This window comes from Homo sapiens, chromosome 3 (assembly GCF_000001405.40).
Source record: "Homo sapiens chromosome 3, GRCh38.p14 Primary Assembly".
Lineage (NCBI taxonomy): Eukaryota > Metazoa > Chordata > Mammalia > Primates > Hominidae > Homo > Homo sapiens.
The window spans coordinates 145,622,773-145,650,558 of record NC_000003.12 but is presented as its reverse complement, the minus strand read 5'-3'; the positions used below and the strand labels follow the sequence as shown (position 1 = coordinate 145,650,558).

The 27,786-nt window shown below is 34.6% G+C and overlaps 1 long non-coding RNA gene across 2 annotated transcripts, besides 1 other annotated feature; it reads left to right on the top strand.

Moving 5' to 3' along the window:
• Window positions 1-27,477, top strand: LOC105374144 (uncharacterized). 2 transcript variants are annotated; one of them, XR_001740944.1, is made up of 4 exons: window positions 1-41; window positions 5,152-5,408; window positions 24,893-24,999; window positions 27,438-27,477. It is a non-coding gene; the product is annotated as an uncharacterized LOC105374144 (long non-coding RNA). The 2 variants fall into 2 exon arrangements; XR_924562.2 differs by lacking the exon at window positions 27,438-27,477 and having other exon boundaries at window positions 24,893-25,114.
• Window positions 26,803-27,097: a silencer, noted in NCBI's record as "tiled region #7261; HepG2 Repressive non-DNase unmatched - State 24:Quies". NCBI's record gives its function as "represses a minimal TATA promoter and a strong SV40 promoter by Sharpr-MPRA in HepG2 cells {active_cell/tissue: HepG2}" and the evidence as "EXISTENCE:reporter gene assay evidence [ECO:0000049][PMID:27701403]".
• Window positions 27,478-27,786: the final 309 nt, after the last annotated feature.

Genomic DNA, 27,786 nt, shown 5'->3' with positions numbered 1-27,786 from the left:
CCAAATGTCACGTGTTCTCACATATAAGTGAGAGCTAAATGGTGAGAACACATGGAAACATAGAAGGGAACAACACACGCTGGTGCCTTTCAGAGGGTGGAGGGTGGGAGGATGGAAGGACCAGAAAAAAATAACTAATGGGTACTAGGCTGAATACCTGGGTGATGCAATAGTCTGTTACAACAAAACCACATGACACAAGTTTACCTAGGTAACAAACCTGCACTTGTACCCTTGAACTTAAAATAAAAGTTTAAAAAGTAAATGTTTGATTAAAGGCAATATTTGTCATCTCTCTTCCTGATTTGAAGCACCTTAGAATCACACGCTGTGCTACATTTATTCCAGTCACGTGTGAAATAGCAATGGAGCTTAGAATGGCACCCAGGTATTCTGATCTGAAATGAGTAATGTAGATGTGTTTCCACCTAGTGCTTCTGCCATTTTTTTTTTTTTTTTTTTAAGACGGAGTCTTGTTCTGTCGCCCCGTCTGGAGTGCAGTGGCGCGATCTCGGCTCACTGCAAGCTCCACCTCCCGGGTTCACGCCATTCTCCTGCCTCAGCCTCCCGAGTAGCTGGGACTACAGGCGCCCACCACCACGCCCTGGCTAATTTTTTGTATTTTTAGTAGACACGGGGTTTCACCGTGTTAGCCAGTTTGGTTTCAATCTCCTGACCTCGTGATCCTCCCGCCTCGGCCTCCAAAAGTGCTGGGATTACAGGCGTGAGCGCTTCTGCCATTTTTATAGCAACTCTCTCAGACTGTCTCAAGTTACAACAGTGTAGACTCACTCCTCATCCTGACATATGCTCTAAGGTGGATTCAGGGAACAATGGCAGCATTACGAAACTTGTCCAAATGTTTTGTCAGTTAAAGTCAATAGGAAACTAATCTGTATAATAAAAGTTTTTTTGTCTGATTGTTTCTTTATTTGTTATCACCTCGTTGGAAAATGACTGGATGATTTTAAACCAAATTTTGGAGAGTAAGTTTGGGATAGCCTAGTTTGGAGTGGACCCTATGTGACACATTGAACATTTCTGTGAAGACCTCAGACAGCGCATCAGAAAGATAACCTTTCCTCAAAGAAGCCTATGTTGACAGTCACATGCACAGCTGTAGGATGTGAATAGTAGCAAAGTTCTACTTCTTTCACAATGGTTAATGATTACAGTAGTCAATGCCAGTGAGGCCCATTAATCCAAAGGAACTCACTTGCCATCACTTTCATAAACGTGTCTTTCAATTAGTCTTATGGATATTAATCTCTATGAACTAAAGAATGGATTCTGATGAAAGAAAGTAAATATGCTTAAACACTTCTTAATTCATATGTGTGTGTATATATATATATTTGATTATTATGTGTTTATAATGTAAACTCCAGCATATGAAATTATATTCCATATTTCATCAAATTTGAGATAATACAACTATTTTTTACTTATCACCAAGAAAAAATGTTTTGTAATTAAACAATTATGTAATACTTTCTTATTTAAAAATGTTAATGGTATGCATTTAGAAAGATATATTTACAATTCATGTAGACATAGACTTTCTTCAAGTCACATGCCATCATTTTGCGTATTGTATTAATTTCTTACTGTTGCCATAATGAATTACCACCAACTTAATTGTTTAAAGCTATATGGATTTATCTGACAGTTCTGGGAGTCAGCAGGGCTGTGTTTTTCTGGAAGCTTTAGGGGTGAATTAATTTCCTTGGCTTTTTCAGCTTCTAGAGGCTGCTGTATCCCTTGCCTCACAGACTATTCCTTTATCTTAAAGCTCTCAGCAGAGTATCTTCAAATTTATTTCCCCCTCCTTCTCTGCCTCTCTCCCTCTCTCCCTGTCCCTCTCCCTTCTCCCCATCACTTCCCTCCCCAGTCTTTGATGTGCTTGGATCATCACATCAACTCCTCTGACTCTGATCCTCCAGCCTCCCTCTTATAGGGAAGGACTTTTGTGATCACATTGGGCCTTGGGCCCACACCTCTAATCCAGGATAATCCTCCCATCTCAGAATCCTTAACCTAATCACATCTGAAAAATCCCTTTTAACATTCAGGGTAACATATGCACAGGTTTTTTGGACTAGGGTGTGGACATCTTTGAGTGCTATTATTTTACTTGTCACACATATGTAAAAGGAAAAATAGAAGTAAAATATGTTTATTTTTTAGCTAAATTTTCATATGCAGAGTTTACTTTTAAAATGCTGACTTATAGGAAATATAAAAATTAAGTAGAGTACAGTAACATATTACAAAGTAAACACCTGAGGCATGACACACATAAAAATGAAATATTGCTTAGAAAAATCAAAAAGTTCCTCTTATGCCATCTCTGACATATCTAAATCTATTTTTCCTCCTTCCATCCCCAAAGTAGCCACTTTTCTGACTTATAAGACTGTTTTGTAGTTTTGTCTGTTATGAATTTTATAGAAATTGAATAATATAGCATGGCTGCACATGCATGTGCATATAGCATGGGTGTGTGTATAGCTTCTTTGGCTTAAAACTATATTTTTGAAATTAATGTATTTTATGTGTGAGCTGTAGTTTAATTCATTTTCATCACAATACAGTATTCCATTGATAGAATATAGTGTATTTTATTTATCTGTTCTGTAGTGGATGAACATTTTGGTTATTTTCTGTTTGAGAATATTATAAGTAATGCTTTTTTGAATAGTTAATTACATGTTTCTTGGGGCACAGGTATACATGTTTATGGGATACATACCTAGGAGTGAAAAAGCATGGTCATTGTCCATAAGTATATTCCATTTCAAGTGACACTGTCATGCTAATTTCTTTTTTTGTTTTTGTTTTTGAGATGGAGTCTTGCTCTGCCTCCCAGGCTGGAGTGCAGTGGCATGATCTTGGCTCACTGCCAGCTCCGCCTCCAGGTTCACGCCATTCTCCTGCCTCAGCCTCGGGAGTAGCTGGAACTACAGGCGCACACTGCCATGCCCGGCAAATTTTTTTTGTATTTTTAGTAGAGACGGGGTTTCACCATGTTAGCCAGGATGGTCTCGATCTCCTGACCTCATGATCGGCCCTCCTCGGCCTCCCAAAGTGCTGGGATTACAGGTGTGAGCCACCGCGCCAGGCCTCTGTCATGCTAATTTCTAAAGTGATTAAAATATTTTTACTGACATATGTAGTTTTTCAAAGTTTTGATTATTTTCTTTGCATTTTGCTAAAAGTTTTATTAGTCTTTTTCACTTTAGGCATTGTGGTGCATGTGTAATAGTGTTTCCAGTTAAACTAGTATTATATTTAAATTCGCATTTATTTTATTACTAATGGGATGAGCATTTTAAGCATATTTTCAGAATTTTTACTGGCTTTTTGAATCTTTTTTGTGAAGAGTCTTCTCAAGTATTTTGCCCATTTTTCTATTCAATTCTGTGTGTCTTTTAGTTTTATTTGTAGAAGTTGTTTTATGTATTCTGGATCTTAGTCCTCTATTAATTACAGGGATTGCAAATGTTTTGGCCCCTACTGTGACTTGCCTCTGTGTACTCTTAATTATGTTTTTGGATTAATAAACATTTTAAATTGTTTAATGTTTATCAATATTTTTATGATTTTTTTGTTTGTTTCAATTGGAATATCTTTCTGTATGCCAAATTCATAAATATAAAGTCTTAGAATTTTTTTTAAATGTTATTTTCCACTTTTACTTAGGTCTATATTCTGCCTAGAATTGATTTGCTATGTGAGTGGGATCAAGTTATTCATAAGGATATCTAATAGGCCCAGCACCATTTATTTGACTCCATGAAAATGAAAATGATATATTCCTCCATTTATTTAGATATTTAATTCTTTTCTTTTAAAATGTTCTCTTCATTGAGGTCTTATAATATGTTCAGTAAGGTGTAAGGTAGTTTTTCCCACAGAATTTTCCTGTATTCCATTAAGAGCACTGCTAATACACCATTTCTTAAAAGACTATGCTACTTTTCTCTATCCAAGCCACTGACAATCATTATGCAAGACTGGATGGAAGTACAACGCCATGTTAAATCCAAACTGCTACCTGGTCTATGGAGATTAAAAGACATACCTGTTTTTAGATATTAACATGTGAGAAAATTTATGTTACAAAATTGGTAAAATTTATAATACAGAATGTAAATATTCTTTATTATCCTCCCCACTAACAATAGTCAGCATTAACTATTTACTGGTTAGTCTTTCAAATTTCATCCTCTGTATATTCTCTAATATTTGATATAATTTTTAATAATTACACAAAAAGTATTGTACAATACATGTGTTCTTTTACAACTTACTTTACTTGGATAATTTTTGGAGCTTATTCATGTGATTATGTGTATATAGATAGATTCAATTCACTTTTAAAATATAAGTATAATGTTTTATTACATGTATATATTTATAATCGTTTTTATGATAGGTATTATATATTTTTTATTTATAAATTCTCTTCAGAACAGTTTCAGTTCTCCCACTTTGTAAAATTATAAATATTAGAATACATGGAGCAGCTATTTGAAACTTCTGAATGGTAGGTAGCAGCTTGTGGCGGGGGGAAGAACACCAGAATTTGAAGTACCATGGCTCTGAGGGTGAGTTTACCATTTCCCTCGTAGTATCCTTCTGCCCAAATCTCAGAAATGAACTGTGGTACAGAGCACTCCAGCAGAAGCCACTCCAATTCTGGCTTGAGGAAGGAGACTTTACAAGCTCTGAGAGATTGTAGAAATCTTCTTTTTATTTCCTTTGTCCCCTTACACCCAAGTCCTAGGCAATCCCATGGAAGCACCCAATAATAGCTCTGAGGGAGAGGAACTTTGTTCTCTGTTCAATAGAGCAACTGTTCCAGAAGGGAAGGGCCATTCCCTATTACCTTTTACTCTCTGTGTTCTATCACTGAAGGATTATTTTTTCCTAAAATGACCACAGTAATATTTCAGGTCCCACTTGTTTTTCCAGAAAGCCACTCCCCTTCAAGAGGTAGAATCTATTTTTTCTACCCTTGAACCTGGGCAGGACAGGGTTTCATGGCTGCTTCTACAAACAGAATGTAGTGTAAGTAATGCTGCCTTACTACAGAGGCTATAACATAAAAGAGGATGTGACTTTGGCCTATTTCTGTCTTTCTAATAGATTTCCCTGGAACCCATTCCTTATACCATGGAAGAAGCTCATTCTAGTCCACAGAGAGAGACATGAAGAGGCTCACATAGAAAGGAATGGAGATCTCCAGCCAAGGGTCAATATAAATTTCCAGATAAGTGAATGAATGAGCCTTCAGATGATTCCAGTCCCCACCCTTTGGGTCTTTCAGATGAGGCCTGAGACATTATGATGCAAAGACAGTCTTCTCTTCTATGTTCTGTCCAAATCCCTTACCCAGAGAGTCGGTGAGTATCACATTACTAAGTTGTGGGTAATTTGACGATTTTTTTTTTTTTTTTTTTTTGCTGTGATAGTATAGTATGTGCAACTCACAATTCCTTTCTCTGAATTAATTTAGCTTTTTGGACATTAAAGCTTAAGTGGGATTATTATCAATGCGTTCTTTTATTCCTAACATTTCTAGTAATAATGTTCTAAACTTTCAAAGAAACTTAAGTAAGCAAATCCCACTGGGCATGGTGGTGCAAGCCTGTATTATTCCCTGCTATTTGAGAGGCTGAGGTGGAAGGACAGCTTGAGCCTGGAGTTGGAGACCAGCCTGGGCAACATAGTGAGACCTTGTCTTTAAAATATTTTTTTAACAAAAAAAAAATCTCAAAGGAGGCTTATAGTAAATGTTATAATTATCTAGATTCCATAAGAGATAAATTATTGTGAGCTATGTTACTTGTGGAAAAAATAAGCATTCTAATCAGATGGAGAAAAGCATTGAACACGTTTTGTTCATAAGTTTTTGCCTCAGAGAAGATCTTGAGAAATTTTGGAGAAAATAATTATATTGGTTTCTTCCATCTGTTTCTTTTGGCTTTTCCAAAAATTTCTAAAACAATTAGGCATTCTTTTTATAATTAGAACACAAACCATTATTTTAAAATGCTTATTTTAGCAAGAGGCAAACTTTCCAAACTAAGAAACAGCCAAACATTCAAACAAAAAAAATGGTACTCTAAATGAAATTATGTGGAGAAGGAGACAGGAACTTTAAAATAATGAATTGTATAATCCAGGACAAACTGTTCTTGAATCTGTGTTGTATATATATTTTAATATTAACTAAGCTTTAAGGATAGCCTGAATAATTCTGGTTTAAAATGGCATAGAAAACATATAATCGGTCTCTTACCCTGAAACCAGCTGAATACACTGGAAAAACAAAACAAAGCAAAGCAAAACCAACAAGAATAAAACAAAACTACAGCTTCAATGAAGCTAGAAATTTGGCACAATCTTGTCTACTGTAGCAATGGAAGGGGTGCTGACTGCCCAGAAGAGCTCCTAGAACATTACTTTAGCCCCATTTGGTATCTTACCACAGAAACAGAGGTTGTGGGGCTAAAAAAAAGAAACTTTCAATCATATCAGCTTTGCCAAAAGCAGGCTGTAAATATATCAGACTGTGGTTTGGTGGCAGTCAACTAAGGCATTGTTACAGAATAAAATAAAATGGTGACTAAGTTATTTCCCTGAAAACCAAGGAGACCCCCTGTTAGCCAGGAACAATATAATCAGTCTTCTCTGTTGAAGACTTCCATTTCAAAGTGGAATCTTGGGCATATGCTGAAACCTTCGCCTTGCTCAAAACACATAGACATTATAGAATAAAAACATACAACTCAATACTTAACTTGAGTTAAGAAAGGAAGAAAACCACTGTGGACCAGAATAGAAGAGAACCATACCCAAAGGCAGGCTATGTGCAAGGGTGTTGGGACCAGACTCTGGGATTATTATGACAGTCTTGGACCGCATGGCTCACAAATTGTGAAAATGGAGGGAAGTGTCTGTGGGATATACAGGAGGTAGCATAGGCCACCATTACATATACAAGCAGCAAAGAGGGAAACAAGGAAAACAAGCAAGTTAAAGAAAAAAGCCACATGAAAAATGCTATAACCTCCAAACTGATGAAAATTATTATCAAACATTTATTCATGAAATCAAAAAAGTGAACTAAAATAGTCTCAAAGAAGCACATGCTAATGGAGAGATATAAGCAATATACCAAAATATCCAAGTCACATCAAAAGACATGGAGAATGGTTACTCTTACATATATTAAAACATACAAAACAATACCACAGGTGTTATGTGTGTGTGTGTTCACTTGTGTGCGTGTGTGTTGTGTGATAAAATGTTAATAAAAGAACAGATGCATGGGCTAAATATATTAGGATAATTATAAAGCTGTATTCTGTAGAAGGAAGAAATAAAGGAAGTTGGAATGAGAAGATGAAATCAGGAACTTCATATGAATACATATATGTGTATATTCATACACACATTTAAATTTTAGGCAGTGTAAAATGTGTTAGCATTTGTTAGTTATGGATGATAAGTCTATATCCCTTATATTGTTATACTATTATTTTGTTATTTTTTTCAAAAGGAAAACTACCATGACAAATATTATTCATCCCAAAATGGCAGGCTTAATTCAATATTTGAATGTTGATTAACATTATTAAACATATTAATCAGTACTAGAAACAACAATATTATTTTCATATTTAGCAAACAAGGTATTTGGTGAAATTAAACTTCATTCTGATAAAAATTCCTAATGAAATATAAAGATATGTGGACATAGGTAACATCATTAACCAGTATCTTGGGTACTAATGAAATTTGAAATTTTCCCTTTATTTACAAGAATAAGACAAGAAAGATCTCTATTGCCAATTTTATTTAATTTTTCCTGTCAGTGATAGGACTGAAATTGAAAAGTAAAATAAATATGTGGCTAAAAAGCAAAGAAGGATTTACAAAATTCTTAACATTTTCAGATGGCATGATTTTATACCTGAAACCCAAAAAGAATTAAGAGAAAATCTAGCATAAACAGCTAGAGAATTCAGTAATAGGTCATTATATGATTAATACAAAAGAAAATGTCTTTGTAATTCATTTGAAGGTCAGAAAATCAAAGAAATGTCTCTCATAAAAATTGCCACTCTTTAATAATGCTGAATCTCTGCCTTCCCTTCACGGATCCAAAATCAAAATGATGAGAACAAAGTATATGCCTTCGTGTTCACTGAAGTGCCCCCTGTTGACAACACTGTACTGCGTTTATAGCATATAATTATAAACATTTAAAGAATGATTGAAAAACAGTGATTATTGAATGATGATCCTCTCATTTTTTCATATTTATGTAATTATATTACTTAAATACATTATATAAATGACTTCTTTATATAGCTTCCTCTCAAAACCTTTCTTCTATATTTCTGTGCTTCTTATAGATAGAGGATTATGTAATCCATTTGCTCAGGCTGCTAGAAATTTTTGGGTTTTTATTATCATTCTCATCAGGGGCTTCTATCTATACATAGTTAATATGTTTATATTTATCTATATCTAGCTATATCTATATCTGTATATCATCTATATCTCTATTTTTTCCTCTTTCTTTCTCTTTTCCTTTCCTACACTCCAGCTAATTTTTCACTTAAGCAGTATTGATGACTATTGGATTTTTGAGACCATATATTTACTATATATTGTCCCTCTGTTCTATTTATCCCTCTGGGTGGTCACCTCTCTCTGACATGATAGCGGGGGCAGGGCAAACTTTATGCACTCACAGGAGACACCAGGAGAGTGAATTGCTACATTTTCCCAGATGTGATTTCTTTTAGGTAGAGATGTCAACTAGTTAGTAGAAGCATGTGAGGGACCTAGGTATTGCTATGTGGTTATTGGAATATAGGATTTATTGATCACATTGACAGACCATGGTGGGATAAGCAATAAGGGTGCTATATCCCGTATGGATATAGCACCCTTATTGGGTGCTATATATTTTTGGATTTATATTTACACAAAAGTTAAGGCCTGTGTCTCCCCTCTTTTTATTTTAACAAGGTTTATACAACTTAGTCTTTCTGGACTCATTCTATTCTCTGTGCTGTCCAATAATGTAGCCTACTTCTACACCCAGACTGGGCATGCACATTTATCTCCATGTAACCAAATCATGAAGCTTTTGTAACCGAATCATGAAGCTTTGCCTTCTAATTAGGTTTTACCTTCTAGTCTATCCTGTTTAGCATCTACACAGTTTGTCCTTGGTGATAATCTTAGTGCTAGCTTATTTTCTTTTAGGCATGTACTATCCATACAATGCTTAGTGACTAAAATTATCCGAACAAACAGACATTTACTAATGATTATAATAGGCAACAGCTGGATTTAACATCTCATATTTAAAAATTGTTTTTGTTCTTTGTTTCTATGTTTTGATGAAAGCTTTTTCCTCTTATTTATGTAATCTTAGATTTACTTTTATAATTTATTTTATTCCTAGCGTTTTATCTCCTTCATATGTTTTCAAATAATGTAAAAACAAATAAATAAAATGACTGAATTATCATCCTTCCTAAACCAGCTTTCTTTACAAATTTTTCATTTGCTATTAAATATACCAATTTTTTTTCAGTTACCTAGATTCAAAAAGCCATACTCACATTTAGTTCTTTACCTGGCAAGCTGTCAAATAATGTAGATTCTATTTCTGCAATGTTTTCTTTTTCCATTTTCTTTCATGTGACCCAAGTTCAAGATCTTAAGGTTTTGACTGGAGACATTTTAAGCCAACCAACATAGCATAGCTAGATTGTTCTTCCTAATGTATGGGTTTATTCATACCATTTAGGTTCTCAAAACTCTAATAACTGCTTATTGCTGACAAATTAATGACAAGGACTTTTGATAAAGAAAGTTTTCTAGTTTATTCTTAATTACTTCTGGAAGCATATCACTCCCTACCTTTGATAGATAATCCAGAATGCTTTATTCACTGTATTTCAGATTACCCTGTATATTTTTAGCTCCACCATTTTGCTCGTGCTACTTTTATTCCTAGAATGCTGTATGCCATATGTTCTTTTGAAAAAGCACATTTGTCCTTCAAAGCCCTTCTCAAATGCCTCCTCTGTAATGTAGCTTCTGCTGCATGGACTGTGCCTCAACTAGATATTGATGAAAAGAAAAGCTTTAGCTTTTCCCTTTGTGCTCCTGTTATGGCTTGAGCCAATATATTACTAGTAATTGATAACAAAGTAGTACGATTATGCTCTGCAACCATTCTCAAGGATGGCCCTTTTAGTGAAGAGTGTTGATCTTTGGCTCAGATTTCTTTGGATACCTTTTATTGTTTCTGTCCTCTCCTTTCCTCTGCTATTCCCTCCTTGGTTTGCTTTCTCTTCCAACAGCCAGAATTTGCAGCTCTTTACCACAAGAGTGCCCTGGAGCTACTGGAGCCTGCTTTTCCTAAGGTACCAGAGAGCTGTGTCTCTAAGTTATATCCTACGGCGGAAGCCTTTAGTCAATGATCAAACTGATGCTAGAGTACCAAAGTCCAGCTCCCCGGCTCAGAGCAACTCAGGAGACATTAAACTGCAATTTTCCCACAGGATCAGGCTGAAGTTGCCTTTTGCAGGACTTTGCCTGTACCTTGCTTGGTTTCACTTCTCTGTCCTGCTTCCTCCATCCCCTTACCAGTTTTCCCTGGGAACTCTTCCTTAATCACAGCCAAAGAGATGCTCATATCACGGTCTGCTTTTCGGGAATGTGCCCTAAGTCTGCCCCATGAAAGCTACCCAAGTTGTTTCTCCATTTATTATAACTAGATATAACTAGGGGGATAAGTTGAATTGTTTAAGTTTGCAAATATCAAGTGCAAAATACTACTTCCCTAGTATTCTGAAGAAGTTCTAATGTACAGTTGCTTTTGACCTAGCTTTAAAACCCCCTATAGGAGTTTAAAAGAGGCTTTTGAAGGAGAAAAGGTTAAACTTTGTCATTTATATTTGTGATAACTGTAGGTAGACATGCTTACCCATGTAAGCATATTGTTACAATGACTGTGATGGAATTGGCTGTAGTTTGTGCCCCTGGCTTGAAGAATTTGAATTCCCTTGGGCTATTAGAGTCTGGAATTTGATTAGTGTGGGCTGCAGTCTAGTCCCTTATCAGCTATTTCTGTAACACATCAATTCTGTGTCATTCAGCAATGCCTTTGCTGGGAAATAATTCTGGCAATCTGTTCTATTTTAAATTTATCAAATAATTGTATGCAGCCCAGTCTCGGTGGATTTTCCACTAAAATGCCCCATATTTTCTTCTTGACAAGCTTCATCTCACTTTCTGTTAAGTTGTGATAAGCAGCCAGTGTCTGGCTAAGAGGCCATGAATTGTATTTTCAGTACTGAGGGCTCTATCAAAATACCTACAATAAAGGATGGGGTTTGCAGAGAACCTTTAAACTATCATTCTCAGGGAATCATACGGGTACTGCTAAGTCAGTCTCCGTTATTTTTATTACCTTGTTCTCGAAATAAAGTATTTCTGTTTTATTTCTCTTCACAATTCTTATTGTCTTTAACAAAATGCCCAGTTACAAGATATTTGTACAACAGAGGAGAGTAATAATTTCAGGCATATCATTTTGTCAGTTATCTGTGTTACACTACACATTCACAGCACTATATTTGTTTGCCCCACATTTGTCATTTCATAGTCTGCTTTCCAGATTGACAATTATTCCGACTTTTTTGTTTTTCTTGCTTTTTTTATTCTAAAATGACTTGAGTTCTTTTTTACTGTTACAAACTATCTTTACTTCCAATAGGAATTTTACTCATGTTTGGAAACTAGCAGTTATAACTAGAAGAGTTAAAGTCAAAGATTTTGCTCCTTATAAAAGTACAAAATGAACTGAAGCAACATACTGATTTGTAAATTATTAATTTATTGTAATTTATAATAATTACATTTTCATGTGCAAAAATATTCAGCTGCCAGTTAATACCATTTTTTCTTGAATACTTTGATACATTTGAAGGATACATTTTATATTCTTTAGTAAGGTATAACAGTTAAGCAAGTATCATAATAATTTTAGTATAGCCTTAGGAGGATGTAACCCAGAGAGAAACTTCTGCTCCTGATATAATAGCCTTGGGAGAAAGTGGAAAGATCAGTTAAACGTTGGTGTCTTAGCCTGTTCAGCGTGCTATAACAAAATACTATAACAAAATACCATATACTGTGTAGTTTATAAATGACAGAAATTTATTTCTCACAGTTTTGGAGTCTCAGAAATCCAAGATCAAGGCAATGGCAGAGTTGGTGTCTGGTGAGGGCATGCTTTCTCATAGATCGTGCCCTCTTGCTGTGTCTTCACATGGTGGAAGGGGCAAGGGAACTCTCAGAGATATCTTTTATGGGAACATGAATTCCATTCATCAGGGTTCTACTTTCATAACTTTATCACCTTCTGTAAGGCTTCACCTCTTAATAATGTCACCTCGGAGTTTAGGATTTTAACATGAATTTTGGAGGGACACAAACATTCAGACTGTGGCAACTGTTTGTTCTATAAAGAATTGAAATTGGGGTGGGTGTGGGGGCAATACTTTAACACTCGAGCTCTGCTTATGGAGATATGTCAGTATGTAGTTATATATAAACATTTTCTTTAAAATGCCGCCCTGAAACCCGATAATACTACTCTAGTCCTACCAATGGGAGAATGATGAGAATGATGAAGGCCCAGACAGTTCAGCCATAAGCTAAAATACCTCTAGAGAAGAATCTAAGAGCTCAGACCCCTAAGAGCCTTCATATGGAAGTCAATGGTGCCATTGCTATGTTTCTATACTTTATATACCGCCTTGTGCTTCTCATTCTGAGATCCTGTAACTTCATTAGCTCTGCCCACATCGTAACTGAATTAAACTTGGCCTTCTTTACTATTTTGCATAAGAGTTGCAATCCCACTCAGCAGTGTTTGACTTTAGCAATCTTAGTCTTGACTGGAAGTATGTAACACGGAATCACAGAGTTCCCTGAAAAGTCTCAGCCATATCAGTACCATCAACCCTGATACTCTCTTGCCTTTCACAGCCCACACACTCCCTCCTAGTTACCCACCTGCTGCATGGAGCACTCTGGATGGTATATCTTTGTTCGTTGCTCTACTGCACTTTCTTATGGGACCCACTGGAGTCCCCATTCTCTAGTGCCCAGGCATTTCTGCCTGACTAAACCTGTCTGAAATGCTGACAAAAGCAGTTTTTTCCATTCTAGTTAATAAAATTAACTAGTTTATAGTATGATACATGCTGGAAAACAGCCATGAACAGAGTTGTATGACAGCACAAAAGAAATAGCAATTCTTAAACAGGAGTGGGGAAGATCAAACAGTCTTCTAAAAGGAGATTATTATGAAATGATACAAAAATTATGAGGAGGATTTAGGGATCTAACTGATGAACAGAGGATAGGAGAGAATATTCTATAATTTTTTAAAAAAAGCTTTCTAGGCCGGGCGCAGTGGTTCACGCCTGTAATCCCAGCACTTTGGGAGGCCAAGGCGGGTGGATCACTTGAGGTTGGGAGTTCAAGACCAGCCTGACCAACATGGAGAAACCCCATCTCTACTAAAAATACAAAATTAGCCTGGCATGGTGGCGCATACCTGTAATCCCAGCTACTTGAGAGGCTGAGGCAGAAGAATCGCTTGAACCCAGGTGGCAGAGGTTGTGGTGAGCCGAGATCATTTCATTGCACTCCAGCCTGGGCAACAAGAGTGAAACTCCGTCTCAAAATAAAAATAAATAAATAAATAGATAGATAGATAGAATAAAAAGCTTTCTCAATGTAGACGGCTCCTGAAAAATAAGACATTGTGACTCATAATTATAGGTTGGTTCTCATTAGAAATAGATCCTGAGTTGGAGATTTGCTGTGGATGGTTTATTGGGAAGAGCTGCCAGGAGCAATATCACTGAAGAGAGAGGGAAGCACGACTGGGCAGAGGGAAAAGTTGAAGTGGGATGACATTGCAGCAGAAGCCTCAGGAGATTGCTCAAAGCCTAGGGCTGGATGCCCTTCAGAGTTGTCCCTGATCAAGGCAAGTGGGGTCAGCCTCTGTATCACCACACTGACCTGCCATGTAATGTGGGCTGCCTCTGAGGAGACAGCATTATATGAGCAGGGCAGCTCCCTTCCAGAGAGCAATGACCAAAGACAGCACAGAGAACAAGACCCAAACTCCTGAAAGGAATCTGGGTGGCCCACCCCAGTATGAATTACACTTGTGGTAGAGCTCAGACACTCATTAGTTGTCAACTTTGACAGCGAATACCAGCTGGATTCCTTTTGCTCTGACTAGTGAAAATGTAGACTGTAATGTAACCATATATACTAGTAGAACTGATGGTTAGTTTTGCTAAGCATTAGAAAATTAATCATGTTCAAAAAAGAGCTTATGTTAATTTTCTGAACATATAACTGAAAATAATGCCTAAACACTTTATTGAAAATTAACAAGAAGAGACATCATGCTCTCTTTTCCATGGCTAACAATTTTGAAAGTTTATGACAATTGGCTGGAGGATTTTACACACTGATTAAGCATATTTAGGTTTATTCTTCTAGGGGTAGAAAATGGTCTAGATGACTTATTTGTGATTAAGCCACCGAAATTGTATCCTGTCACATGATTAAATCTTATGTTAATTGAGTCAGTCACTTTTGAGAAATGCCAAATGCTAAGTGTTGTTTTTCTAATATGAATACTATATTTAACACAGTAAGGTCACAGGTCTAAAATTATAAATAGGCCTATAATGGATTTATTAATAATGTGACAGTATCAAAAGTTAATATTTCTAAACATCATGTATCCCCACTTAATTTTTTGTATCACTAAGCAGTAGATTACTTTATGTTACAGATTTCATGCTATAGTAATTGCAGTAATTAAACTTATTGAAGCTTGACTCAGTATAAAGTGTAAAGATGTATGAATAAACATAGGTCTTGTCATCTTGTCACATGAAAGATGCATACCCTTTATTTTAGAAGAGTGGGGTAGTTTATTGGAAATGTTTTTATTTTTAAATGTGTATTTTGAGAAATAGGAAGAGTAAAAGGTATTTAACTAGTTGAGATAGAGTGAAAAAGTGTATTAGTTGTTCAATAAAATTTGTACTGCATGTATCCACATAAATTAAGGAGAATATTATATATAATTAATTTTACTAAATAGAAAAGCATTTGGCAAAATTCAAGATTTATATATAATAAAATTTGAGAAAACCAAGGATAGTATAGAGGTTCTTCAGTCTTATAAAGAGTACCTAAAAAAAAAAAACCTGTCAAACATTACACTAAACAATTATACATTGCACAGTTCCTCCAAGATGAGAAACAAACAAACAAAAAGGATGACTATTCTCTCCTCTTGTAGTTAACATTGTACTGTGAGTCCTAATCAGGGCAATAATGCAAGAAAATAAATTCAAAGTATGGATTCTGGAAAGGAAACCACTCAAATTAATAAGTGAACTTAGTAAGCTGGCAGGGCACATGGCCAGTATATAAAAATCAAATTAAAATTTATGTTCTAAGAGTATATCATTAGAAAAATTAATTTTAAGTATATCATTTGCAATATATTAATAAATAAAAATATTAAAATAAGCTTAATGAAACATGTAAAACTTCTATAGTGAAAACTACAAAATGCTTTAGAGAGTTATTAAAGAAAACCTAACTATATGGGTTGACAATACCAGTTTTATAAACTTAAAAACTCAGTATTGTTAAGATGTCCTTACTAATCGTATTAGTTTTCTAGGGCTGCATTAACAACATACCACCAAACTGGAAGGTTCAAACAATAAAAATTATTGTCTCACATTTCTGGAGGCTAGAAATCTGAGATAAGAGTGTTCCATTTTTATGTTCACATTTCATTCTCTTCCTATGCGAATTTGTGTCCAAATTTGCCCTATTTATAGAGACACCAATCATCTCGGATTAGAAGCCCCCTCTATGTCAATGGCCTCATCATAAATAATTACATCTACAATGACTCTATTTCCAAATAAGGTCATGTCTTCAGTACTAGAGGTTAGAACATCAACGTGAATTTTGAGGGAAAAGCAATTCAACAAATAACAATCCTCAAATTTAGAAGTGATTTAAATACAATACTAATAGAAATTCCATAAGGATTTCTTTTCTTTTAGAATCAACATACTGATTGTAAAATTTATATGGACTTCATAAGAACCAAGAATAGTAAAATTCTTTAAAATAATATAAATATTAGAAGGTAGATACAATATGACTTTAAGACTTAATATAAATCTACAATTCTCAAAACATGTGGTATTGGCTTAATTTTAGAAGAATGATTAATGGAACAAAATAGATGGTCCAGAAATAATTTATGTGTATAAAGACAATTTATTTTTTAAATAAAGTTGATAAAGTAATTCAATGGGAAACTTTTTTCCAGAATAGGGTGTTCAAACAACTAGAATAATATATCTAAAACATATTTCTCAATCCCTATCTCATTACATACCTAAAATTAATTTTTGGATTATATGCCAAAGCATAAAAGTTAAATTAGAAACATTCGAGAAGAAAACAGAAGACAATAGCTCTGCAGCCATTGGGTAGGAAACATATTTTAGAAATTATAAAACACTAAGCATAAAAGTAAAACACATGCACACTTTACAGTAAAATTTCTTTAATCAAATAAATAAAAATTTCTGCTTTTCAAAAGACATGGGTGATGTAAGGGTGTTGGGTGACAATAGCAAGGAATACTTCATCACAACAAGCAGCCCAGCCTGAAAAAACCTCTAATCAGGGTTCTCAAGAGGGACAGAACTAATAGGATATATGTATACATGAAAGGGAGTTTATTAAGAGGAACTGACTTAAAATCACAAGGTAAAGTCCCATCATAGGTCGTCTGCAAGTTGAGGAGCAAGGAAACCAGTAGTGGATCAGTCCGAGTCCCAAAACCTCAACAGTAGGGAAGCGGACAGGTAGCCTTCAGTTTGTGGCTGAAGGCCTGAGAGCCCCTGACAAACCACTGGTGTAAGTCCAATAGTCCAAAGACAAATTACCTGGAGTCTGATGTTCAAGGGCGGGAAGCAACCAGCACGAGAGAAAGATGAAGGCTGGAAGACTCAGCAAGTTTGCTCATTCCATCTTCTTCTGCCTGCTTTTTTCAGCCGTGCTGGTAGCTAAGGGGATGGTACTCACCCAGAGTAAGGATGGGTTTACCTCTTTCAGTCCACGGACTCAAATGTTAATCTCCTTTAGCAACACCTTCACAGACAAAACCAGGAACAATACTTTGCATCTTTCAATCCAATCAAGTTGACACTTAATATTAACCATCACAGTCCCTGAGGGCCCAAGAATCCCCTCCTCTACCAAGAGGTACCAGGTTTTCCCTGGACTGGGGAAAATCCTTCTACTCCCTAAAACACCACCAGTAGGTTTGTAGTAACACTAGTAGCATCAGATAAACCAAGCAGACCAAAATTAATGACCACACATTCTCTGAAAATTAAACGTATGAAAGTACAACACATAAAAGAAGGCAACACAGTGTAAAGTGTAAACACTTTAAAAAGAATGAGTACCTGTTAAAATAAAAAAAAAAAAATAAGTCCCTGGCCCCTCTAACATAATAGGCAACATGTTCAGCATGCAAACAAAAATTACACATCATGTCAAGACTCAGAAAATAGCACTTGAATGAAAAACGATAATCAACTGATACCAACTTAAAGGTGTTTGAATTATCTGACAAGGGCTTTGCAGTAACCATCATAAAAATGCTCTAAAATCAATGGTAAATTCACTCAAAGCAAATGAAAACATATATGTTCTCAACAGCATAATAGAAATTAAATAAAACAATCAGATGAAGCTGATATAGCCAAAAAAAAAAACAATAGAGATAATGAAAAATCACTAGATTTCTTTAATCTAGTGGAGATGACAGAGCATAGATTCTGTGAATTTATGGACAGCTCAATAGAATTACTCTAAACAATATAGAAAAAATAGACTGAATAAGAAATAAACAGAGCTTTGGGGAGCTGTGGAACAATAACAAAAGTTTTAACATTCATATCATCAGACCCCAGAAGGAGAGGAGAAAGAGAGTGGGACAGAACCAGTATTTAAAGAAACAATGACTGAAAACTTTTGAAATTTAGTGAAAGACATTAGCCTATAGGTTCAAAAAGCTAAAGGCATACCATGAGACCACACCACATTAATACACATCTTAACTAAACTTTTGGGAATAAAGACAAAAAACCTGACATTAGCCAGAAAATAATAAATAGTTCATTGACTGTAGGGAAACAAAAATTTGAATGACAGATTTCTCCTTTGAAACCAAGGAGACTAGGAGGATATGACATATTTTTTCAAGTGCTGAAAAAGAAAAAAAAAACTGTTAACTTGAGAATTCTATATCCAATGACACTAACTTTCAGGAATATAGAGGAAACAGAGACATTCTCTCATAAAGAAAAATGAGAAGAATTTGTAATGAGAAAGTCTACTCCCAAAGATTGGCTAAAGAAAAGTCTTTAAATAAAAAGAAAACGATAAAGGAAAGAATCATGGTGCATCAGGAAGGAAGAAAGAATAATGGAAAGAGTAGACATATAAGCAGCACAGCGGCTATACTTTTCCATATGAGCTTTACAAATTATATATGATGATTTTAAAAAACTATAATATTTCTGTGATAGACTGTGTTTGATGAACACAATATAATAGAAGTAAAAATGAATAATAGAAAAACAATAGGAAAATGTCTACATGGCAATTAAATAGCACACTTTTAAATATTACATGTGTCAAAGAGAATGTCTCAGAGAAAAAAATATATATATATACTCTAACTTAGTGAAAATAAGACGCAACATATCAAAATATATAAAATGCAGCAAAAGCAATGCTTTGAGGAAAATTCATAGCATTAAGTGCTAACATTAGAAATGAGGAAAGGTCTCAAATCAGCTAATCTCTAAATGTCTACCTCAATAAGTTCAAAAAGAAGAGCAAAACAAAGGAAATAATAATAATGATGAGCAGAAATCAAGAAAATTGAAAGTAGAATAATAATAGAGAAATTCATTGAAAAAGAAAGAAAACTGGCCGAGTGTGGTGGCTCACGCCTGTAATCCTAGCACTTTGGGAGGCTGAGGCGGTTGGATTGCTTGAGCTCAGGAGTTCGAGAGCAGCCTGGGCAACTCTGTGAAACCCCATCTCTACTAAAATACAAACAAAAATTACCTGGGCGTAGTGGTGTGTGCCTGTAGTCCCAGCTACCTGAGAGGCTGAGACAGGAGAATTGCTTGAACCCGGGAGGAAGAGGTTGCAGTAAGGCAAGATCGTGCTACTGTACTCCAGCCTGGCGACAGCGAGACTCTGCCTTCAAACAAAAAAAAAAAAAAAAAAAAAGAAAGAAAAAGAAAAAAAAGAAAAGGAAAGAAAGAAAACCAATTGCCAAATAAAATGACATAAAATTATGCTCCTATGTTTTCTAGTAAGAATTGTATAGTATTAGCTCTTACGTTTAGGTCACTGATACATTTTCAGTTACTTTTTGTAGATGATCTGAGGTAAGGGTCAAATTTTATTCTCTCGCATGTTCCAAAAGTTTTCTCAGCACCATTTATTAAACAGTCTATTTTTCCCCATAGTATGGTAATGGCATCCTTGTCAAAAATCAATTAGTCATAGATATGTGGGTTATTTCTGGACTCTCATTTTACATCGCATTGATCCATATAACTATTTTTTGATAGTTCTATATTGTTTTGATTACTGTAGCTTTGTAATAAATTTAAAATCAGGAAGTATGAGTTCTCCAACTTTGTTCTTTTTTGAACAATTCAGGGTTTCTTATAATTATGTATGAATTTTAAGGTCAGGTTATCCATTGTTGCACAAAATTTTGATAGAAATTACATTGAATCTACAGATGAGTTTGAGAAGTATTGGCCTCTTAACTATACTAAATCTTCCAACTCATAAACACAGAATGTATTCTTATTTATTAGGCCTTTATCTCCTTTCAACATTTTATTGTTTCCATATACAAGTCTTTCACCTCCTTGGTTAGATGTATTCCTAAGTATTTCACTCATTTATGTGCTATTGTTCATGAAATTATTTTCTTAATTCTATTTTTATATTCTTCATTGCTTGTATTAGAAATACAATACTTTTGTATGTTTCAAACTATTCTGTGAGTCCACTATTGCTCTGATATATAAAAAAAGACAAAAATAAAACAGACCAATTTCTCTTATGAACTTTGATGCAAAGATCTTCAAATAAAATAGGATACCAAATCTAACAACTATAAATAAAATTATAAAGTATCGCCAAGGTATGCAAGGCTGACTAAGCATTCAAATATCAATCAATGTAATTCGCCATAAAACAGGAAAAAGGAAAAAATATCAACTGATCTTATAACTTTATACAGGCAAGGTATAACAAAATCCAACATTCATTCATGTTAAAAAAAAAAAGATCAGTAAGTTAGGAATAGATAGTAATTACTTACGGTTGATAAGAAATATTCTTTTTAAAAAACCTGCATATCACATAACCATTAATGGTGAAAGATAATGCATTATTTCTAAGCTCAATAAAAAAGGCAAGGATGTCTGCTCTCAAAACTCTTACCCAACATGCAGTAAAAATCTTAGTTACTGCAATGAGACATCAAGAAAAAGACAAAAAAAAATACCAATTTGAAAGAAAGAATTTTCCCCTTTTGTATAGAGCATGATTGTCCATCTGTTAAATACTAACAATGTACCAAAACATCCAACTATAAAATAAATGAGTTAAGCAAGGTCATGGGGCACAATATCAACACAAAAATCTGTTACACTTCTATACAGTAAAAATGAACACACAGAATACAAAATCGAAAACATGGTACCACTTATGATCACATAAAAGATAATGAGGAATCTTTGCAGTGATAGAAATTTTTGTATCTTGAATGTATCAGTGTGAATATCCTGTTCATGATATTAGACTAGAATTTTACAAAATTTTATTTTTGGAGAAACTGGGTAAAGAGTTCATAATCCTTCTGTATATTATTTCTTATAACCACATGTGACTCTGTAATTATCTCAATAAAAGTTTCAAATAAAAAGGACACTAAGAAAGTACATAAGAGGCCCACAGACCGTGGGAAATATATCCTTTGCCAAAATATATTATGATATGTATGATATATATACTTCTTTGACAATGCTAGTATTATAACTGTGATTTTATATGTACACATATACTTGTCCATTACAAGGAACTTGTAAAATTATTCAACTTTCTGAACCTAAAGGAACTTATTAAAAAAAAAGTCAAAGTCAATCATTGAACAGATATTTCACTGAAGGAGTTATACAGATGGCCAACAAACACATGAAAAGATACTCAACATCATCAATATAATGAGTTTTATGAAAAATATATTCTAGCTAGTCACAAAAAGAGTACAAACCATATGGCAGTATTTATATGAAATTAGGTGGTAGATAAAAGTAAGCTATGATAATGGAAGTAATATCATGGGTTTCCTAGGGGTTTGCAGGAAGCTAGAGGAGGAAAAGGCATTAGAAAATTTTCTAGGGAGTTAAAAATATTCTAAATCTTTATTGGAGTGGTGGTTATGCTTGTATACAGTATGTAAAATTTCCAAAGTTCATCAAATGATACAGTTAACATTTAATTGATCATTTGATAAAATACAAATATAAAATATGTATATATAAAGTTGATTAACACAAAAATATTAAAATAAAGCTTTTTACAAAGATATAAAATAATTTAAAAAACAATACACATCTGTATTATCTCTCTGTTTGGTCATTATGCTAAGTAACAATATTTCAGGACAAAGCTCCTTTATTAAAATTATAATCACCATTATGAGTCTCAAGAAAATCTTCCAGTTTACACTTTCTTTTGTCTTGTCCAGCCTTTTATTTTCACTGGTGGCAATGGATATTAAAGTCTGATCATCATTAAGGATCTTGTTTCCTACTGGGAACATGGCTCCTTTGCCAATGCTAGTATTATAAATTCTTCAACATGTACTTACATGCCCCTGAAGCTTGTACAAAAACTGATTTTTCTAGTCTCATGAGAGGTTGTATACAGCTCATTGGTGAACTGAGTCCTTTTTCTTCACTTTTCAGAATAAGTAATTACTTCAGCATGATAATAACTACATTCTCTTTTATGATATTACTTGGAATAACTTAAAGCTTAAAAACTGTTAGTGAATAACTGTGACTGACTGCCTTATTTGCTCAGTTGAAATTTGTTGTTGATTTTATGTAAACATTAAGTCATGTACATTATAAGTGACTTTAGGAAATGCTGTATTCACTGAACAAAGATTGTTTTCATCTAATGCGTATTTAATAAATATAAGTTAAAAAAATTCAATAAAAATTTGCAATATTTATTTAACAGTAAGGCTTCAGGTGATCCTGCAGCCACCCCTACCTTTACCATAAAATAATAATTTTATGAAGTAAAATAAGTTTTATTTGAAGATCGGTCTGCTCATGTTCCTTGAAATTCATAATCTGTTAATTCAAGAAGTGCTTAGTGAGAATCTGCTCTAAGAAGGAATGTAACTGCTAGTCAGCATGGAGGAAGTAGGGAATCATCTAGGGCCTATCCATATCAAATACACGAGAAAGAATTATTAAAATTTTAAATTATACTTATGAATTCTGGACCATTGTTATTCGATTGCTTGAGTTTAAACACACAAGAAAAATGTATTACATAAAGCACACCAAGGTGAAGCAAAGGATAGGGTGGGAAATCAGAATGTCAAATCTTCATTGTGTCTTTACAGCTGACATTTACTTTGTGAAGTGTGTTCTCCTTTAGCGGTTTAAGCAAATAAATTGTGATACATTTGTAATTGTCAGGGCTAATTGGCTTACATTTTATTTTTGTTTCAGAGTATAATACAAATCTTGGCATATAAATGCAGTTTTTTCATATTTCTATTAATAAAAATCAATACGAGTCGCTCCATAGTTGCTATTCTTTTGACAAGATTTTTTTCTTTGTACACTTACCTTAAAATGAGCATTTTAATGAATTATTTTGCCCAACCACTTGCATGAGAGTATTAGAGTCTCTCTACATAAAAAGATAAATAAAATATACTCTGAGATAACTTTCTTTTTTATAAGTTTAGGCTAGATCGGAATACACCAGAATACTTCTTATCACTTCACCATGAGGTCATTACAGATTTTATTAGATGTCTTCTACATGTACAATTTGACCGCCACTATTTTGCCTTTTTCTCCCCTGCACCCGTTTTGAAACATACACACACACACACACACACACACACACATCACACACACACGCACACACACATTCAATATCAACAGTATCTTCAATACTGACCAGGATAATGTATTCATACATTATTTAATACTGACCAGGATAATGTTTTTAGGTACTCATAAACAGGCTTTGATAAAACATAATCTGTCTTTTGAATCATTCTTATCTGACTATTTGGTCAGTTTTTTGAAGACACTCTCCAAATTCTATTAGTAAATGGGCAAAGTTTTACCCCCGATTTTAGAAAAACAATGCCTATTGGCACACTTAGAAAAAAAGAACTCTTACTCTATTCAAAATCTGTCTGGAGGGTGAAAGGGGAATAAATAGTTTAAATGCATAGTGAATCCCCATTTGTAAATCTGACCTGCCTATCCTATTAAATGACTAAATGGGATGCATTCCCCTTCACATTCAATTTGCCAATCACACTTGTCCCAGCATTTCAATGAAGATAAATTGCAACTCTTGGTAATTAGTTAATTGGTAATTTGCTCATCTATCTTTGTAGTGTGTTTTTTCCTCTATGTTGTTTACTACATTATTCTTTCCTCATTTCATTTCTGAATATGGGAACCAAATTTGGAATAAACATCAGTCCTGAAACTCCCTAGTAACATAAATGCCAAGTGGTTTTTATTGCTTAAAAAACTTAATTTAACTTGGAATTGAGTGGGGGAAAGGTGAGGCAACATGAAATAAGACCCAGCCAAAGAAAAGGCAAAACTGCAATACTGAAATAGAATAAGATTAAAAGTGAAAGCCATAGGGGCAGAACATATTTCATACTTATAAGAAGTATTCTGATCATGGATAAGTTAGTTTGTTGCTCTAAACTTCAGCTACATTGTATCAGCCAGTATCCTTAAATTCAAGCAAGAAAAAACACTTTGTCTAGTTAAAAAGAAAAGAAAAACACTCATTAAAGAGTATTACATGGTCAATTGACATTCAGGGGGACTAGAGAATCAGATCTGAAGGCTTTCCAGCAAGGACGAGTGCCCATATCACATCACATAGTTGTCCAACAGAGACTATATTGATGACTCTTAGGAACACACAACAGAGCTCATACCAGTGACGCTGTGCATCTGATGTTAAAATCTCCACCACAGACACATCTCAAAACTTGACACATTCATTACCTCTCAACCATATAATGGTTCTTTCAGGACTCCTACATTTTCATGCAACTTTTCTAAATCAAAATCTTAAGCAGTTACATTTCATTGGTAGCACCTAGATTTTGTGCCTATGCCTTGTGTTCAAGAAAGCTGAGAGTTTCTAGCTTCCTTTGGATACATCAGACTTAATTATATAAATGTCTTAAATTTAGAATGAAAGAGGGTTCAAAAATGCTGCTTACTATAAAATATGATAAATATTTATACATTAATATCCCCTCAGTGTCTTTTTTTATTCTATTTTTTTCTATTCTATTTTTAAACAGAAAAAGTGATTCCCTGCAATTTAATGCAACTCTCCTTGGAAAAGAACAAGAATATACTCACTTCCAGAAATGCTGAAAACGCTAAGTTCCAGTGCATCTAGCACCAGGTATAAGATATCTGTGTGATGCCCATTCCTACACTACCTCTTGAAAATCCCATCTTGATACTCTGTAATCTATCATAAAATTTAAAGCAAATTTTCAAAACTAACCTTATGTTAAGTAGTATAGTAAATGGGAGGAGAAAAATAAAAAAATCAATTAAAATACAAAATTTGTAAATATATAGAAGAAAAGCAAGAATAAATATATATTTAAGCAAATAAAGTCCTAATTTTTGGAGACGGTTTTGAAGGCCTTCTATATGACTTTCTTTCTCCACTATGTATTTCATGTTTCCTCTCCCTTTAGCCAGAACTTCAGCTTATCCAGAACTTTTACCTTACACTGGAACTCAAACATTAATTCGACATCAAGCTCGAGTTATCTTGCCTGTCGAAGTTCGCTTAATGTTTACATGGAAGCACTAAAAGACATCTTAAAAACACACTACATTCCCAACATGCATCTCCATTGGAAAGCAATAATAACATTTCTGTATGATCAGGATCAATCAGTGCATCAATATTACATGTCATTTTTTGGCCCATTCTTCTATGTTATGAGGGGCCCATTAATGGCAATTTTGACTTCCAAGTCAATGGAATTAATATTTTTTTCATTAGCAGGAGATATTTCTTCCTTGGTTTCTGGGGCAGAGACCCTATTATGAATTTACTATATTGCTTCCTCTTTCAAGGACCACAGGAAGACTTTTTCCATTCTTTTTTTTTTTTTTTTTTTTTTTTTTTTTTCTGGCAGTTGGCTAGGGCCGTGTGACAGAGGTTTGGTTAATATAAGTTAGTAAGAAATAACATTAGCTGTTTCCAGATGTGGTCCTTAAAAGAATCTTATTTGAAGCTGCAGATATCACTACTTCTTCAGTGGAGTTAGAGACCATGTATTCTAGTTGTTGTAGTTACCAGATGGGAAATACAGCCTGATCTGCATCAGACTGTGATGTGTGGGGGTGTGTGTGTGTGTGAAATAAATCATTGTGTTATGCCAAAGAGATTTAAGAATTTATTTTTTACCACAGTATAAACTACCATAACATTACTTTTTATGGTGTTAAGACTTCTAACCCAGGCGAATTCAAAAACATAAAGATAAAATATAGTTTCAAATGTGTCAGAAAAGTGACATTTGGATTTCCAAGCCTTTGCTCCTGGATTCACATATTCTGACTGTAAAGGAAAAGTATTACATTGTTCATTAGTTCCAAGTCAATTTCACAATACAGATAATGCCTCTAAGCTGGTCATGTAAGTTATACTTTAATAGATAAGCCCACAATTTTATGCACCTAGCACTTTTGGATAACAGAAGCTCATGTTAATAAGTGAATTCCATGAATAAGGACCATTGAGTTATACCATAATTTACAGTAAAATAATTTTTGGGGGGAAATATAAGGTATTCTGTGATGGTGAATAAGATACTCAGTAAGTCCTTAGATGCTCTTGTTGGCAAAAGCAAAGCAGGCAGAGAATGTAAATCCAAGTCCAAATCAGTATGAAATCAGAAAAACAGATATCTAGAAGTCAAATGTAATTAGTCATGCCAAATGGTTGGCTGATACCCTGAAATATGTTCTCATATCAAGTTAACAGAGTATGTCATTAAGGCTGGCAAGTTGGTCAGTGGTCAACAGTAATAGCCAGAGAAGCCTCAGTTAGAGCATATCCTAATTTTTGAGCCCATGTATAAACTCATTTCTGCTATCATGGCCATTGTGTCTATGAACCCATTGGCTAAGCTGCTCTGCTGAGGAAGAAGACTTACATTCACACTGGACCATTTCGGTTACTTGACTGTTGAGAGCTGCCCCTATATTAGGAAAAATATTGTTGAACATTCACATGGGAGAAAGCATTATCATTTGCTGGGTCCTTTATGAGAGATGCATCTACATAAATTTCTATACAATTCTGTCAGCACTCTAGCAAACCAGTTCCTTTCAAAACAATAAACATATTGCCAAACTATGAGTTATTGCCCATGAGTCAGTATAAACAATTGCATGTTCTTTGGGAGTTTATAGCTACTGTGAATATTTTCCTTCTCAAGTATCATTCAGGAGTACCACTGAAGGGCAAATAGTGTTCTCCTGGCTATATACATTGGTTTACAGTGTCTCCAGAATATGACACAAAGCTAACTCTAAATCAGACAAAATTTTTCAGTTAATATCCTGTGAGGCCATTGGAGTTAGTTGAGAAAGGAATGTAGAAAAAAAATATGCATGCTGGGGATTTGAGACAAATTACTTGTGCCTTTGGGCCTTGCTGGAAATTTCTATTTGATGATGAAATGCTGAACATGATTAACTTTGTGAATTGGTAGATATGGTGGCATAAGTTTCATGATAAAGGGCTGAACTTGCTGATTATGTTTTTTTTTTTTTTTTTTTTTTTTTGACATGGTGGCTTGCTCTGTCACCCAGGCTGGAGTGCAGTGGTGCAATCCTGGCTCACTACAACCTCCGCCTCCCGGGTTCAAGCAATTCTCCTGCCTTAGTCTCCTGAGTAGCTGGGACTACAGGCGCATGCCACCACACCCAGGTAATTTTTATATTTTTAGTAGAGATGGGGTTTCACCATGTTGGCAAGGGTGGTCTCGATGTCTTGACCTCATGATCCACCCACCTTGGCCTCCCAAAGTGCTGGGATTACAGGTGTGAGCCACTGCGCCCGGCTGCTGATTATCTGTTATTCCAAGGTCAAATGTTTGATCTCTACCACAGCACAGCAATGAGACACATTTTGTTCCTCAAAAGGTAACTTGTTTTTGGT